Source organism: Homo sapiens, chromosome 12 (genome assembly GCF_000001405.40).
Source record: "Homo sapiens chromosome 12, GRCh38.p14 Primary Assembly".
Lineage (NCBI taxonomy): Eukaryota > Metazoa > Chordata > Mammalia > Primates > Hominidae > Homo > Homo sapiens.
This window is the reverse complement of record NC_000012.12, coordinates 50,722,158-50,738,083: the sequence shown is the minus strand read 5'-3', so window position 1 is coordinate 50,738,083 and position 15,926 is coordinate 50,722,158. Positions and strand designations below refer to the sequence as shown.

Here is a 15,926-nt window from a genome sequence, read left to right as displayed (position 1 = left end):
AGATGTGAGCCACTGCGCCCGGCCACCAGTGCTATTATTATTTATGGATGAGGAAACTGAGGCCCCAAGAAATTAACCTGTCCAATACTGAGAAGCTTGTAAGTGGCAGAGCCGAGGTCATCTGGCTCCTGCACTTACAGGACTCCTCCCATTCAGCTACGTAATGAAATATCAGCATCCTTCAAAGATTTGGGGAGGCTGGGCATGGGGGCTCATGCCTGTAATCCTAGTATTTTGGGAGGCTAAGGCAGGCGGATCACCTGAACTCATGAGTTCGAGACCAGCCTGGGCAACATAGTAAAACCCTATCTCTACTAAAAATACAAAAAGTTAGCCAGACATGGTGGCACGTGCCTGTAGTCCCAGCTACTTGGGAAGGCCGAGGCACAAGAATCACTTGAACCCGGGAGGCGGAGGTTGCAGTAAGCCCAGCCTGGGCAACAGAGTGAGACTGTCTCAAATAAACAAACAAAAACAAAGATTTGGGGGAAGAAAAATTAACTATTTTATATAGTTAATTTTTATATACTTATATACAAATAATATGTATTTATATATAAATATTTTTTGTTAAAGGGCTGGGCCTAGAATTTTTTTGTTAATGCAAACATGGATACATTTTAGAATACAATATAACATCTGAATGACCTTAAAAATTTGTAAGTATGTGACTCCTTTCAGTTTCATACCTTAATAGGTGGGAATATGTAGGATTTGCTCACTTTCCTTTCTAGCTAAGGGCATGTCAGTGGACAAATCTGGTACCATTTCCAGTTTGGGTGCCTAAATCTTCCCTGGATCCCAGTTTCAATCTCCCTCTTCTGTCAATTTCAGTCTCATGCCTTACAGAAAAAAATTAACTCCATTCACAACGGGGGAAAGCTAAATCCACAGTTTTACTGATTTCTAAAATGTGAACCCTAGAGATTTTTACTGCTGACTTTTCAGAGTAAAAATGAAAATTATTACAAACCTCTCCAAGGTGAGAGTCTCCAACCGGCCCTTTGGTCTCAGGATTAACAATAACCACTTTCACTCCAGGTAAAATCTAAGAATCAAAGGGAAAATACAAAGATTGAGTTCAGTGAAATCTAATGACCTCCAGGAAACGCACGGTTAGTTACCTGCTGGAGAGGTGAGAGAGGCACACATGGCGAGCCAGCTGTAGCGGCATCACAGCAGCTACCCTGAGGGGATCATGGCAGAGACCTTGTGTCTTGCTCTCACTGAACCTTCCTCAGTTCATTGAAGACGAAAGGTCTAATAAAACTCAGCCTCAAAAATAAAATGGGAGCCAGTCTGCCATCTCTTCAAAGGGATGAGAAATTGCAGATCAGGACCTTAACAGTAGAATTTGTAGAATAACCTTTCCCTTTTCATGTTCTTTCTCATTCACTGGAATGATGGCAGTGAAACCCTTTAAAACAGAAAGGGCAGCAGGCAGGGACAGCCTAAGTCACTCCACTCCAGACTCCAGCTGGTGCTAGAGTTGGAGGAATGTGAAGAGTGACAGAGGACAGCAGCAGCTTTGCAGGACAGAAGGATATCCTTGACCCTAGGATCTTCCTCAGGAAGGAAAAGGAAGACACATACGCTGGCTGAGGGAATGGCTCAGCCATTCTAACAAAAGAAGGGCCTCTCTGGTTACCCATATTCTGCCCCCTTCAAACTCCCTTTTTATCTTGGGTTTCTAAAGTATGAGGTTACTTGAGAAGCCCTCAATAATTATCTGGGTGCAAACATCTAAAACCTCAAGGAAGAGATGAGACGGTTCCCTTAGTCCAGGGTGGGCACAGGCTAATGCTCGTGAGGTGTGCTTGGCTGCTGAGGCAAGTGAAGATGTGACAAGGCAGTGACAAAATCAGCCAAATCCCCCTCTGCTCGCAGATGCAAACGGAAAGTGAGACTGGAGTAAGCGCCCCATGGGGTGATACACCACCAAGTAGGTTTGGCAGGGATTCTTTTTTTCCCTCCACAATTTTTTCACTGCCCTTCAGAATTACTAGACAGGATTCTGAGGTATCATCATTATCTCATCAAAGGGCAGAGAAATTCCCACTTGTCTTGACAATGCATGTGGGTTTCCTATCATCCTTAGTAAATTGCTTCTCACTAAATCTCTCTTTTGACGTTTTATAGCCTCATTCTAATCTAAGAAATCTTACTCCCACAGATGTTAACTCTCAAATATCTTTAATCTCATCCCCATTTTTATTTTCCTTTCAACTTTAAATGCATGTGTGTCTTCCCTGACCTTAAACCACACTCCCATCTCGGCCTCTCCTAGCTTTCTCCTTGTGACGTTTGTAAGATAGAACCGGGCCGGGCATAGTGGCTCATGCCTGTAATCCCAGCACTTTGGGAGGCCGAGGCAGGTGATCACCTGATGTCAGGAGTTCAAGACCAGCCTGGCCAACATGGTGAAACCCCATCTTTACTAAAAACACAAAAATTAGCTGGGCGTGGGGGCAGGTGCCTGTAACCCCGGCTACTCGGAGGCTGAGGCAAGTTCTCCTTGAATCTGGGAGGCAGAGGTTGCAGTGAGCCGAGATCGCGCCACTGCACTCTAGCCTGGGTGGCAGAGTGAGACTCCATCTCAAAAAAAACAAAAAACAAAAAACAAAAAAACAAAAAAAACCATGAAAAAAAAACATAGAACCAGCTCTTCTATCCACCTTTCATACAATGAGCACTGCATTTTGCTGGTCTGTCAATAAGAATAACATGTCAGTTGGATTTTTAAAAATCGATGGAAATTAAGAGAGTTCAAATTTACTATTCTTCTTATCTATGTACCCATATGAATTTGAAAGTATTAGCCAAGCTGAAATTATCTCCAGATTTCAATTAAGGCTTGCCCTGGACACTAATATATTATATGGCTTCTGGTTTCTTTAAACTGAACCACTTCTCCACACAGCCCACCTTCCCCATGGTCAACAGAACAAATTACCTTTCCAGACTCTGAGAGAAGCAAACTCTGAGGGGCGCCACGTTCCACGAGACGAACCCTGCAGAAGAACGGTATTTACTATATATAGGGCTTTTAAGAGGAGAAGTCGCCATGTTCCTGCAGCTCGGTGCTGCCTTCCCACAACCTCTAACTTGTCTCTCTTCCTCATACTACAGAGGGGTTTCTCAAACTCAGCACTACTAACATTTTGGCCAGATAATTTTTTGTTGAAAGGGGCTATCCTGTGCATTGCGGTGTTTACCAACACCTCTGGCCTCTGCCCACTAGATGTCAGTAGCAAGCCCCCTTTTATGACAACCCAAAATGTTTCCAGACATTGTCAAATCTCCTCTAGGGTGGCAAAATCTTCCCAGGTTTCAAACTGCTGCATGAGAGAGATGTTCCACCTATGCAGGCTAGGTCAGTGCAGTGGGGCACTCCAGATAACACATCCAGGGTAGTGGGGCTTGGGAAGAGAAGTCTTAGAGCCCTGGGCCAGCGCTCACTGCCGGACACAGCTAAAATTCCCTTCTGGGCTAAGGAGGCAGGCTTTTACCCATGGGGCTCAGATAAAGTGTTGTTTCAAAAACCCTACTCTGACTCATTTATCTTATCTGTCCTATTATTTTTAAACTCTTAGAGGAAAGAGACTATCCATTTTAGTTTAATTTATATCAAATGTCACAAAATACTTTTATATGGGCAATAACTATTATACTTTAATATTAAAGAACAGTGTAGCAACTGAGAGAATTAAAGCTTTCTTATAAATGTAAATCTTATGTATTAATGATAAAAACAAATTCCTTCCCTCTTCCCATTCCCCTCCTGGAATATATGAACAAAAGGAATGAGGGAAAATGCTGGCTTTGAGGTTCCGAATTTGTTATGCTTAGGAACTAGTAGGAAAGGAGCATTAATAAATCTGTTGTACCTGTCATGTCTTAGTGATTTCAGATCCACATACACAGTAGTCGGATCAGGCCCTGAGGTTCCCTAAAGAAAGACAAATCAATGCGTTGTTTAGAATTTCGATAAACTGTATTTCACATTTTCAAACCAAGAAATAATTTAGCCATATACATGAAAAATCCACACTCTTTTCACCTCTCCTCCCCTTGAGAGTAGGCCCCCTGCTCTCACTCTTATCACGGGGACTGTGGCAGCACTGAAACATTTCCATGCTGAGGAGGGCTTTCATCCCTGGATTCAAAGCAGAGGTGACACAGGTCGGCAACCCAGGGACTTGCAAAACCAGTATTGGCCACAGTGACAGCAAGAGGGCTATGATGGGGCTCAAGTTTAAACCATCAAGACCCTTCTGAAAGAAGAAGGTCACAGAAGACCTGAAATAATCCACCCATGTGTGCTATCTTCTTTCACTCACTTTGTCCATGCCTATATTTGCCTTATTATTTTTTTAAGAGACAGGGTCTCAATCTGTTGCCCAGGTTGCTGGAGTGCAGCGGTACAATCACAGCTCACTGCAGCCTCAACCTCCTGGGCTCAAGCAATCCCCTTGCCTCAGACTTCCAGGTAGCTGGGACTAGAGGCATGTACCACTAAGCCCATCTATATTTTTTGCAGGTGAGTGGTGGGGGTAGGGGAGAGATGAGGTCTCAACTATGTTGCCCAGGCTGGTCTCAAACTTCAGGGCTCAAGCAATCCTCCTGCCTTGGCCTCACAAAGTGTTGGGATTATAGCCATGAACCACCACACCTGGCGCTATATTTGCCTTATTACACATTAATACATAAAATTAGTCTCAGTTCTAGTCCCTTTTCTGTTATTTACCCATCAAGAATAACATGACAAAGTTGCCATCTGGGTAGAGAAGAGAATACAAGGTTATTGTTTGGAAAAAAAAAAAAAAAAAGAAAGAAAAAAAATGGTATAGAATATAGAGACAGAAAAACAGAAGGTCAGACCGGGCGCGGTGGCTCATGTCTGTAATCCCAGCACTTTGGGAGGCTGAGGCGGCTGGATCACTTGAGGTCAGGAGTTTGAGACCAGCCTGGTCAACAGGGCGAAACCCTGTCTCTACTAAAAATACAAAAAATAGCCGGGCGTGGTGGTACACGCCTGTAATCCCAGCTACTCTGGAGGCTGACGTGAGAGAACCGCTTGAACCCAGGAGGTGGAGGTTGCAGTAAGCTGAGACTGCACCACTACACTCCAGCTGGGGTGACAGAGCAAGGCTCCGTCTCAAATAAAAAAAAAAAGAAAAAGGAAAAACAGGTCAGATACAAGTAAAATCCAAATAGGACTCAAATCTTTGTGACTCGTCATCATGACCACACGACGATGACTCAAGTAAACACCAACACTGCGCTCACTGTCAGCACTGCTCCAAGAACTCCGAGTTGGCAGCTCAGTGATTGTGCAAGCTGCCTGGGGAAGCACAGTACTGCTACCTTCACCTTACAGATGAGCAAAATGAGACACAAAGAAATCGAGATTTAAAAGCCCGAAGTTCCAAAGCAAGTAAGTGCGGCTGGGGCCCAAGCCCAGGCAGCCTGGCTCCAAAGCCCATGCTCTGGGATACTCCATATTCCTCTCCCATTTGTCAACAGACAAGATTTCATGAGGGTCACCTGTAAACATATTGCTACATTGACTCTTGATCCAAAAGTGGTGCTGACAGCCCGCGGGGACAGCCCGATGTCTTTGAAGAGCTTAGAGAAGGACTGCTGGAGTGCAACGCGGGGCCTCTCCTCCGCCACCACCACACAGGTCCGGACGCAGGAGAGGTTGATCCCTCTGGTCTGCAAGACACCATTATATGGGAGCCAAGTCAGTAGGATCATAAAAGAACTGAACAGGTAAGGCCACTGTTCTAGCTCCTTGGTCAGGAAAAGCCAAGCAATTGTGTATTCTCACCTCAGGCACACAGAGAAAAAAGCAGCTTTCAGAAAAGAAGAAACGGACAAGGCATCCCATTAAAATCACTATCTGCTGGTAAATTTGCTCATTCTCTAGTTCTTTCCTCTTTCTTCTAAAAATCTAAGGCTCTTCAGCAATGTTTTTATCCCTCCTCATTTCTGTACCTTAGATGTCCCCCTATTTGATGAGACTGAGAGAAAAATTAATCTAGAACTCTGGCGATCTAATCTCATCTCTTTTTGCATTCCAAAGATATTTTTCTATCAAAGAAAATTCAGTATCTTCTGACTTTCTCATCTGCAAGTCAGACAGATCATCATTTGACACACACATGAATCAATGAGTTACCCTTATCTTTGGAGATATTCTGAATTCCTAATATTTTGAGGTTTCAAATTCTATTAGGAAAAAAAAGTATTGGAAGCCACAGTTCCCTTTTATGTTTACATAAAGTCTTTCCAGTTAGCCTCCCAACCAGTTTCCGCTTCTTGTCCACAAAGTAAGAATCATATTAAACTGTGGAAGAGTGCACTAAATTAGGAAGGTGGAAGAGATAAACTTGCCAAAGTTTAAAATACACCCTTTTTTAACTGAGTGACTTGAAAAAGGCAAGCAAACATGTCTGTTAGCCCCTGCTCTGGCCCTGTTACGTCCTGGCGCATTTCTTCAGAACCTTTTGGGACTGGCCACCTGCTGGAGCTGCTTCTTACCTTTAGCACTTCCACTTGGTTCCCAAGACCTTTGGTGCAGAGCTCCATCACTGAATAGGAGCAGAAAGTGTCCCTTATTTTGTACTGGTTGACTGTGGAGAGCCAGAGGAAAAGGTTGTTCTCTAACTCCATAGGAGGAATTAAGACAGACTGGTGGCCTGAATAGACACTGCAGTGAAAGAGACAAGAGCTGGAATCATCAATTCATCCTGGATACCTGATGCTTCAGAACCCCACCAATTCCACAGATATTTACTGAGTGTAAAGGACAGTGTAGGGACATATGAGATATAAAGCTCTAAGAATCAGTCTTGTTCCTATGCAACTCGCAAAAGGAGCAACTATGAAATAAAGCAGACTGTGGTAGGTCACTTAAGTCTACATAACATTCTTACAGCTGCCCTCAAGCTAATTAATATGGTCAAGATGATACTAAACATTCTGGAAAGGTAATTCCTAATAACTAATCTTTAAAACCCTGATGGAGTAGCATTTTTTCCTCTTTCTATTCAGAAACCTTATGTGTGGACTGGATTTTATTCCTATGGTTTCTTTTAAAGATGTTTATAGCCATTTTATTGATGCTCTGAATATGAGATGTGAATCAAGAACACTGACATCACAGAATAAAGAGCAGTTCATTCAAGCTCGATAAGCCAGGGTAGGGGAGTGGTAGTGCTTCACTGAGCTGGTGACACTTGAGCTGCAGCTTGAAGAATGAGTATGAATTTGGCAGTGGCCAGAAGAAGTGGGGACGGTAGTGAGGGTGTTCTAAGCAGAGGAACAACATTTACAAAGGCCGATAATTACAGCATGTTTGAAGCGATCAGAAATATTAATAGTATTCAAGTGGCCAGGCACGGTGGCTCACGCCTGTAATCCCAGTACTTTGGGAGGCCATGATGGGAGGATCGCTGGAGCCCAGAAGGTGAAGACCAGCCTGGGTAATAGAGCAAAACTCATGCCTCTACAAAAAAAATTTTTTTAACAATTAGCCAGGCGTGGTGGCACACACCTGTAGTCCCAGCTACTTGGGAGGCTGAGGTGGGAGGATCACTTGAGCCCGAGAGGCTGCAGTGAGCTGTGATTTGTGCCACTGCACTCCAGCCTGGGTGACAGATTGAGACCCTGTCTCCTTTAAAAAAAAAAAAAAAAGAGAGAGAGAGAAAGAAAGAAACAAAAAAAGAAAGAGAGAGAAAGAAAAAGAAGAAAAAGAAAGAGTATTCAACTGAAATCGTAGCATACAGGGTGAATGGAGAAGTAAGGCCAGAAGGGCTAAGGCCAAACTGTGAAAGGGCTTAACCATCCTATGAAGGAGTTTAGACTTCACCCAGCAGGCAGTCATTGCCACTTTAAGTTGGGGCAACACTGACAATATGGACATACGGAGTAGGGATTGGTGATACGAGCCACTGAAACTTGAGAGACAGTTAGGAGAGGCTGCAATAGTTCAGGTGAGAGGTGATAACAGGCTTGAACCCAATAGTGTATCCCAGGATAAAAAGGAAGGAATGGGACTGGGTGTGGTGGCTCACACCTATAATCCTAGCACTTTGGGAGGTCGAGGCAGGCGGACTGCCTGAGTCCAGGAGTTCAAGACCAGCCTGGGCAACATGACGAAACGCTGTCTCTACAAAACAATTAGCCAGGTGTGGTGGTGTGCACCTGTAGTCCCAGCTACTCAGGAGGCTGAGATGGGAGGATCGCTTGAGCTTGGGAGGTGGAGGTTGCAGTGAGCCGAGACTGCACCACTGCACTCCAGCCTGGGCAACAGAGCAAGACACTGATTAAAAAAAAAAAAGAAAAAGAAAAAAAAGAAAAAAGGACAGAAAGGAAATATGGATCCTCATATCCATATTCAGTCCATCACAGGAAGAACTATCAACACAATGTTTTTTTTTGTTTTTAAGCAAGAAAAAACAGGAAGGAACAGAGTTCCTATCATGTCTCATCTATAGCCACAAAGCTTAAACTCTTGGCTCATACAAAATGGCAGTGATTTTATGCCTAAACCTGTTTATAGATCAGAGTCACTAGAAGCTCAGGAATCCTGTATTTAAAAATACTGGTGGTGTGGTCTCCACCTCTGGAGATGAAGGTTAATAAGTCTTGGGGAGTCCCATTAATTTTTGTTAAAAGACCCCCAGGTGATTCTTATGTACATACAGGTGTAGCACAACCGAGCCAAAGGACATACATTTGATTAGACACAAGACATAAAGATACAGAATCTGAAGATAAGACCCATGTTTCTAGTGTGGGCCCCTACATGGATGATCCTATCCTAACAAAGAGAGAACAGGAGGAGAACGTTGAGCTTGAGCTGCAGGCATCTGTGAAGCATTCATGATGTACACCAAGGAGGTGAAAATGCAGGTCTGAGATGAGGTTCCCTGGGGGAATGGTGAGAGGAGCTGGGATCTGTATTCTGCAAGGAGCAACCTGGCCAGGGCAAATGTGCTACTTTCCATCCACATGCTGTCATCCCATCCCATTGTGCTCCTTCCTGCCAAGCCGAGGGGGTACGTGCTGGCTGTCAAAGCATGACATATTTCATCCGAGAATCATCCTTCTACTTGGCTTTGCTTCTAAAGCAAGGATTACATGGTGGAGCAGAGAGCAAGTAACAGGATCACTGCCATTTTGTATGAGGAATAAAATTAACAGAAAATAACAAAGGGAATACAGACAAAACTGTTTTTAAACAAACTTCAGAGACACAGTAGATCCATAAATTCTGGAAACACTAGCATTTTACTGAAACTTTACCAAATTAAGGGAGCAAAGGGAAGGATGAGATGGCCATGGCCACAAAGTATACCCCCACACATTCTGTCTCCTTGGCTTTTCCATCCCTACCTGCAGAGACACCAGAGCGCGAAGCCAAGTCCACAGTAAGGGTCAAGGCAGATGGCGATCTGCCGAGAAGAGTACAACTCACACTGGAGCTTGATGGCTCGACACAGAGCGTTCACTGCAGAGTGGGACATCTGGAAAGTATGGAAAATGGAACAGGCTGGGACTGTTATCCCACAGGCAGAGTAACAGCTCTGACGACAGCTTTGAGGAGTTTCAATTCCCTAAACTCCTCAAAACAATGCATAATTTTTAGTGCTTCAAAGCCTAATCTAAGACTCCATTAAGGGAACATATTTCTGTTCATTAGTTAATAATGAATTTTTTTTTTTTTTAGATGGAGTTTCACTCCTGTTGCCCAGGCTGCGGTGCAATGGCACGATCTCAGCTCACCGCAACCTCAGCCTCCTGAGTAGCTGGGATTACAGGCACGCACCACCACGCCCAGCTGATTTTCTATTTTTAGTAGAGACGGGGTTTTCCATGTTGTTCAGGCTGGTCTCGAACTCCTGACCTCAGGTGATCTGCCCGCCTTGGCCTCCCAAGGAGCTGGGATAACAGGCGTGAGCCACCGTGCCCAGCGAATACTGCATTTTATGATATCTAAATATCAGATTTCATACATATTTTAACTAAAACTCTTTTTCTTTCAGCTTCTATGCTAGGTTCAGACGCTTAATAATACAAATTCCTTGTGATAACTCATTCCAGAGGAGCCAATGCCTTTATTTAAATAGAGCAGCGACTTAGATCTTCACTCTGCCTACCGGTCTCTGGTACAACCACTTGGCCTCTGCATCTATAGTTTCTGGGGCAGTGGTCATCTCTATTTTTTGGCAGATGTGGCATTTTTCCAGCATGCACCTTACCTTCACTCCTGTAAGCATGCCAGTTGTGGAGACACTAAAATCAAGATATGCCAACATCTCAGGAGTGGGCGGTTTATACAGCTGAGGTAACCTTTTCCTGGGTAAATCATCTGCCATGAAAAGAAAAAACCTGATGTCAATCCAACATGCTGGAACATGAAAATCATTGCTCTTCTGTGGCTTTGCTATGGCCAAATTTAGCTTCGCAGATTTGCTAAAGCTTAGGCCTCTCATATTTAACCAAGTAGCTCACATATGTCATTCTTAGAGGTGGGCTGGGGTTGAGGACAACACTAGACAACACAGGCAAGCAAATCTACATCAGGTAAATGTATCTGCTAGCAGCTTAGTAAGGGGAAACAGAACACAGTAGGAAGCAGACTGCTGTTCAAATGCCAGCTCTACCCTCAGCTACGTGACCTTGGAGTTATTTCACCTCTTTGTGTCTGTTTTCTTTTTCTCTAAAATGAATCTCTAAAATAATACCTACCCTCATAGAACTGTTGGGAAGTTAATTCACATAAAGCACTTTTAAAGCAACTGACTGAAGAAATGCTCAAAAAGCATTAGCTGTTATGCTGGTTTCAAGTTAAAGTTCATTATTTACACTTTAGTATGTGTTATATTAATCATGTATGGATTTAAAAGTTGGAAAGTATTTCTCTAAGTTAAATTAGCAGATTTTTTCTTTTTTTGAGACAGAGTCTTGCTCTATTGCCAAGGTTGGAGTGCAGTGGCTCGATCTCGGGTCACTGCAACCTCCATCTGCTGAGTTCAAATGATCCTCCCACCTCAGCCTCCTGAGCAGCTGGGACTACAGGTCCATGCCACCATGCCTAGCTAATTAAATAAAAATTTTTTTTGTAGAGGTGAGGTCTCACTGTATTGCCCAGGCTAGTCTCCAACTCCTGAGCCCAAGTGATCCTCCTGCCTCAGCCTCTCAGAGTGCTGGCATTACAACCATGAGCCACTGCACCTGGCTAACCTGGCAGAATTTTAAGAATAGTAATCTATCTGGGTGCAGTGACTCAGGCCTGTAGTCCCAGCTACTTGGGAGGCTGAGGCAGGAGGGTTGTGTGAACCCAGGAGTTTGAGACCAACCTGGGTAACATATCAAGATCATGTCTCTTTAAAAAAAAAAAAAGAAAGAAAGAAAAATGGTGGCCAGGTGCGGTGGCTCACACTTGTAATCCTAGCACTCTGGAAGGCCGAGGCAGGTAGACCACTTGAGGACTGGGGTTCGAGACCAGCCTGGCCAACATGGCAAAACCCTGTCTCTACTAAAAATACAAAAATTAGCCAGGCATGGTGGTTCATGCCTGTAATCCCAGCTACTCGGGAGGCTGAGGCAGGAGAATCCCTTGAACCCAGGAGGTGGAGGTTGCAGTGAGCCGAGATCGCGCCACTGCACTCCAGCCTGGATGACAGAGTGAGGGCCCCGTCTCCAAAAGAGAATGGTAGCCAAGAACTGGGAATTCGCTGCTTTCACTCATTTATGATACCTCCTCTGCTTCCCCCCATGTGCTTTATAAGTATGCCAAAACCAGGGATGTCAAAGATTTCCTCTGGCTCCAGCCATACCTCTTCAATGGCTCCTTTGGCTTTCTGGATCAAGAAGGATGTCTGACTCTGAGTTTTAAATCACCATAACATGGGGCACCCATTTCTGGTCAAATGAAAGACTAACACCTTTGACCTCCCTTTGTGCAGGGAAGGGTCACTCCTATGACCACTCAAGTGCCTAAAGAAACCTTCCTGTTGTGATTGAGCCCATTAACCATAGACCTACCAGCATCATTAACACCAACACAATCCATTTGTGATAAATATTGTATATAACTGTGCTTCTATCCTTCAGTAACAAATATTTAAAAAACCCAGTTCAGCATCTGGTACACAATAACCACAAATACATGTCATTCCTGCATTTGAATCCAGAGTTAAAAAAAAAAAAAAAGGGTAGGGAGGACATTAATGGTTAAGAGGCTGGGAATGGAGCCAAACTGGCTGGATTTGAATTTCAGTTCTGCTGCTTATTTAACTTCCCTCAGTTTTCTAATCTGCAAAATGAGGATAAAAATAGCAACTTACAGGGTTATTGTAAGGATAAAATTATATAACACATTAAATGACTGACATATCATAAGGGCTCAATGAAGATTAGATGTTATCATTATGATTACATGCTAGAAGCTTTGTGTTACATCATTTAATCTTTACAACTCCCACTTTATAGACAGGTTAGTACGGATACTCAGAGAGTAGCAGATACAGCAGGACTTAAACCCTACCTGCCTGACTCCAACACCCACACTCTTCCTATACCACAGCTTTTTCAGCTATTCCCTTATCTTATCCCCTTCTTTAATACGAATACTATCTAAAAATTCTGCACTTTATGGCTTTCGAAGTATAGCATTTTCATATTATACTGCATTTCATCTTCTCAATAAATATTCAAGTCAGGCAGGGGTAGGCAGTAGCTTAGGAAAGGGTAATTTCAGTCAAGATTACACAAGCAGTAGGTAATGAAGCTTGAGCCAGAACCCAAATCACCTGACTCCTAGTCCAGTATTGTTTCAACAATATCACATCTCGAACGAAAGGATCAGATTGTCTCAATATTTTACTTGGCCCTACATGTACATAGTCACATGTAGCATAAAAACCTAACCACCTTTTTATGATGCCAAGAGTAACAGCAAAACAATTTTGTTTGGAGAGCTCTTAGCAGACTGTGATCTGGCTCTTTGCATCTGCTGTCAGTGTCTAGTCCTGCACAAGCTTACTGATCCTAGGTTTTGCCTCTGTCTTAGCAGGCAGAAGACATAAAGGCAGGGTAAACACGTCTGGCATGAGAATGGAGGAGATCTCAGGTATTGTGAGCTCTCAGTCCCTCCACCCTCAGAAGAAGTCTCCCTTTCACCTGTGTCAATGATGGTTGGCCAGGTTTTCACATCCACAGCTGCTGCTGCCTCTCGGGACCTCAGTAGCCTCATTAGGGTCTGACTGGTGAGAATACAGGCTGCTTTGCTGACCTAGAAAACAAATGGACAGCAATAAGCATCAGGAGGCTCAGCCCCAACATGGCACCACAGGCCCTGGCTGCTGCTAAAAGCCACTCATGTACCACACTGGACAGGACAGTTTCAAAGAACACATGTGAGACAGACGAGGTCAGTGTTACTCCCTTGCATGTTTCCTTCTGGAAATGTGTGACATTTAATTCTCTCAGAATGATGGACCTGTTCACAATACACTGTATCATTTATAACAGTGATTCTCAAAGTATTTCAGTTATAATCTCAGTATAGATCCCACAATCCCAAGATTTCATGAAGACCACAATTAAATAAAGATGTGGGTTTTGTAGTGCTCAGGAAATGAGAAGAATCGGATAACCATGTTTGAAGGAGACTGCCCCAGTCTCTAGTGAATGATGAGACTTACTACACCTAGCCCATACACTGAACCTAAGGAACCCTGATGCTGATATAAGCTCTCACAGAAACTAGGTTCTCTTGCCCAGCTATACACAGAAATGCAAAGTGACCTATGACCTACTTTGCCCACGAACTGCATCAACAGCAACTCCCCTCCCTGCTTTTCTGGCCCACTTTGTAGAATATAACAAGGGCATTTTGCTGAATTACACTTTGTAATAAAATCATCTATGGTGATCATGGCTTTTATACTGTGGGCTCCATTTTTGCTGACAGAGCAGCAGTTCTCAGAGAAGCAAATGCTACATGAACTGGAATTTTGTAATCTGTCAGCACTGGCCAAGGCTTCCCCTTGCTGTAAACACTAGGATCTCATGCAATACACACTTATCTTATTTTCTTTAACTCTCATATCCTATAAAAACTTCTATCATCTCCAGAGCAAGTTCTGGACACCTTTTAATGCTATACCAAGTAAATTCACAAAAGTAACTAAAATAGAAGTGACTTGACACTGGGGATAATTCAGTTTGGCATTTAAAATCGCCTAGATAATTTTGCAGGAAAAATATCAGACAGCACGTTTTAGACAGAAGGGAGGGGGAAACACTTTTTTTTTTTCTTTTGGCGACAGGGTCTGCTCAGGCTGGAGTGCAGTGGCATAATCTCAGCTCACTTCTAACCTCCACCTCCCAGACTCAAGGGATCCTCCCACCTCAGCCTCCTGAGTCGCTGGAACTACAGGCAAGTGCCACAATGCCTGGCTACCTTTTGTGTTTTTGTTGTAGAAATACTAATGGCTGCTTCACCTCTTTAATGTTCATGATAACTGCACACAATTCTGTATCTCACCAATAACCACTTTCCCCCAGTTCCTTCACTGAATAATGATGACTGCTTTGGCTGGATTAACAAAAAGGAGGTAGTCTCCAGAAGACAAATTTGAATTCCTGACTTAACAAAATTGGAAAATTAGTAAGGATCCTTAGTTGTCTGAATCTGGATTTTAGGAGATGAGGACAAGGCAAGATACAGCTGGTACTTACATCAACAATCATTCGGACAGTGGGCAGCGTGGCCGTGAGGTTCTGAGCATGTGGAGGTCTGACGGTCACAGGTATACAGCCCGCATACAGGCAGCCATAGAAGGCGGCGATTAACTCAATGCCTGCAAGACAAAGGACCCTGTCAGGAGAGTCACTGAACTGCCTAAGAGCACTGAGAAACTAAAAGGCAAATTTTCCAAAACAATTAAATCATGTGCCAGACAGGTTCTGTAGACCATAATTTAACAAAGACCCTAGCAGAAGATATTGAAAGTGAAAGAAGGAAGCATATAAAACTTTAGAAAATATAGAGAAAACAATTAACAAAAAAGGAAGGAAATCAGCAGTAAACTCCTGAAATATTTCTGAAGAAGGTATATTGATATTATTGCTTGATATTACTCAGGAGGAATAACTGCAGAAACCAGGAATGGTTAACTAGGAAAATAAAAGAATGGAGAAAGGAGAGGTGAGGAAGCCCTGAGCTTCTTAAAAATATTTAGAAGGCTGCTCTAAAAAGAGCCATCAGACTTCTTAGATGTTGTTGAAGGGGTATGAGTTTTAGGGAGCAAAGTGTGACTCAGTCTGAGGAAGACTCTGGGCAGAGGCCTCGTCAGGAAGAGCTCAGGTCCTTCCCCGTGGCCTCTCACCGACTGACAGGTGCAAGGCCATCTCCTGGGCATGTAATGGTGGGGACTGCTTTATCACATGATCTTCTACGAAATCTCAGTATCTAGGTAAATAAGGCAGCACATGAGAATCACATAATGAGCCAGGCATGGTGGCACACACCTGTAATCCCAGCACTTTGGAAGGTTGGGGCAGGTGGATCACCTGAGGTCAGGAGTTTGAGACGAGCCTGGCCAACATGGTGAAACCCCATCTCTACTAAAAATACAAAAATTAGCTGGGCGTGGTGGCGTGTGCCTGTGATCCCAGCTACCCAGGAGGCTGAGGCAGGAGAATCACTGGAACCAGGGAGGCGGAGGTTGCAGTGGGTGGCAGAGCAAGGCTCCGTCTCAAAAATAAAATAAAATAAAATAAAATAAAATAAAATAAAATAAAATAAACAAACAAACAAACAAAAAAAAATCACAGAACAATATGAAGTGTGGGGGGATAACAGGCCAAAGAAAGCTGGATGTATGAGTGGATTAGGTGACAGA

The 15,926-nt window shown here is 43.6% G+C and overlaps 1 protein-coding gene across 1 annotated transcript in view; it reads right to left on the bottom strand.

Annotated features, from left to right (window-relative positions):
- Nucleotides 1-15,926, bottom strand: part of DIP2B (disco interacting protein 2 homolog B) — a 243,673-nt gene that overhangs the window by 10,574 nt on the left and 217,173 nt on the right. The window contains exons 27-35 of the mRNA NM_173602.3: nucleotides 14,761-14,882; nucleotides 13,198-13,309; nucleotides 10,272-10,381; nucleotides 9,406-9,536; nucleotides 6,547-6,715; nucleotides 5,548-5,718; nucleotides 3,888-3,949; nucleotides 2,954-3,011; nucleotides 974-1,048 (exon numbers count right to left, since the gene is read on the bottom strand). Coding sequence (NP_775873.2) covers nucleotides 974-1,048; nucleotides 2,954-3,011; nucleotides 3,888-3,949; nucleotides 5,548-5,718; nucleotides 6,547-6,715; nucleotides 9,406-9,536; nucleotides 10,272-10,381; nucleotides 13,198-13,309; nucleotides 14,761-14,882 — 1,010 coding nt within the window. The remainder of the gene's footprint in view (nucleotides 1-973; nucleotides 1,049-2,953; nucleotides 3,012-3,887; nucleotides 3,950-5,547; nucleotides 5,719-6,546; nucleotides 6,716-9,405; nucleotides 9,537-10,271; nucleotides 10,382-13,197; nucleotides 13,310-14,760; nucleotides 14,883-15,926) is intronic.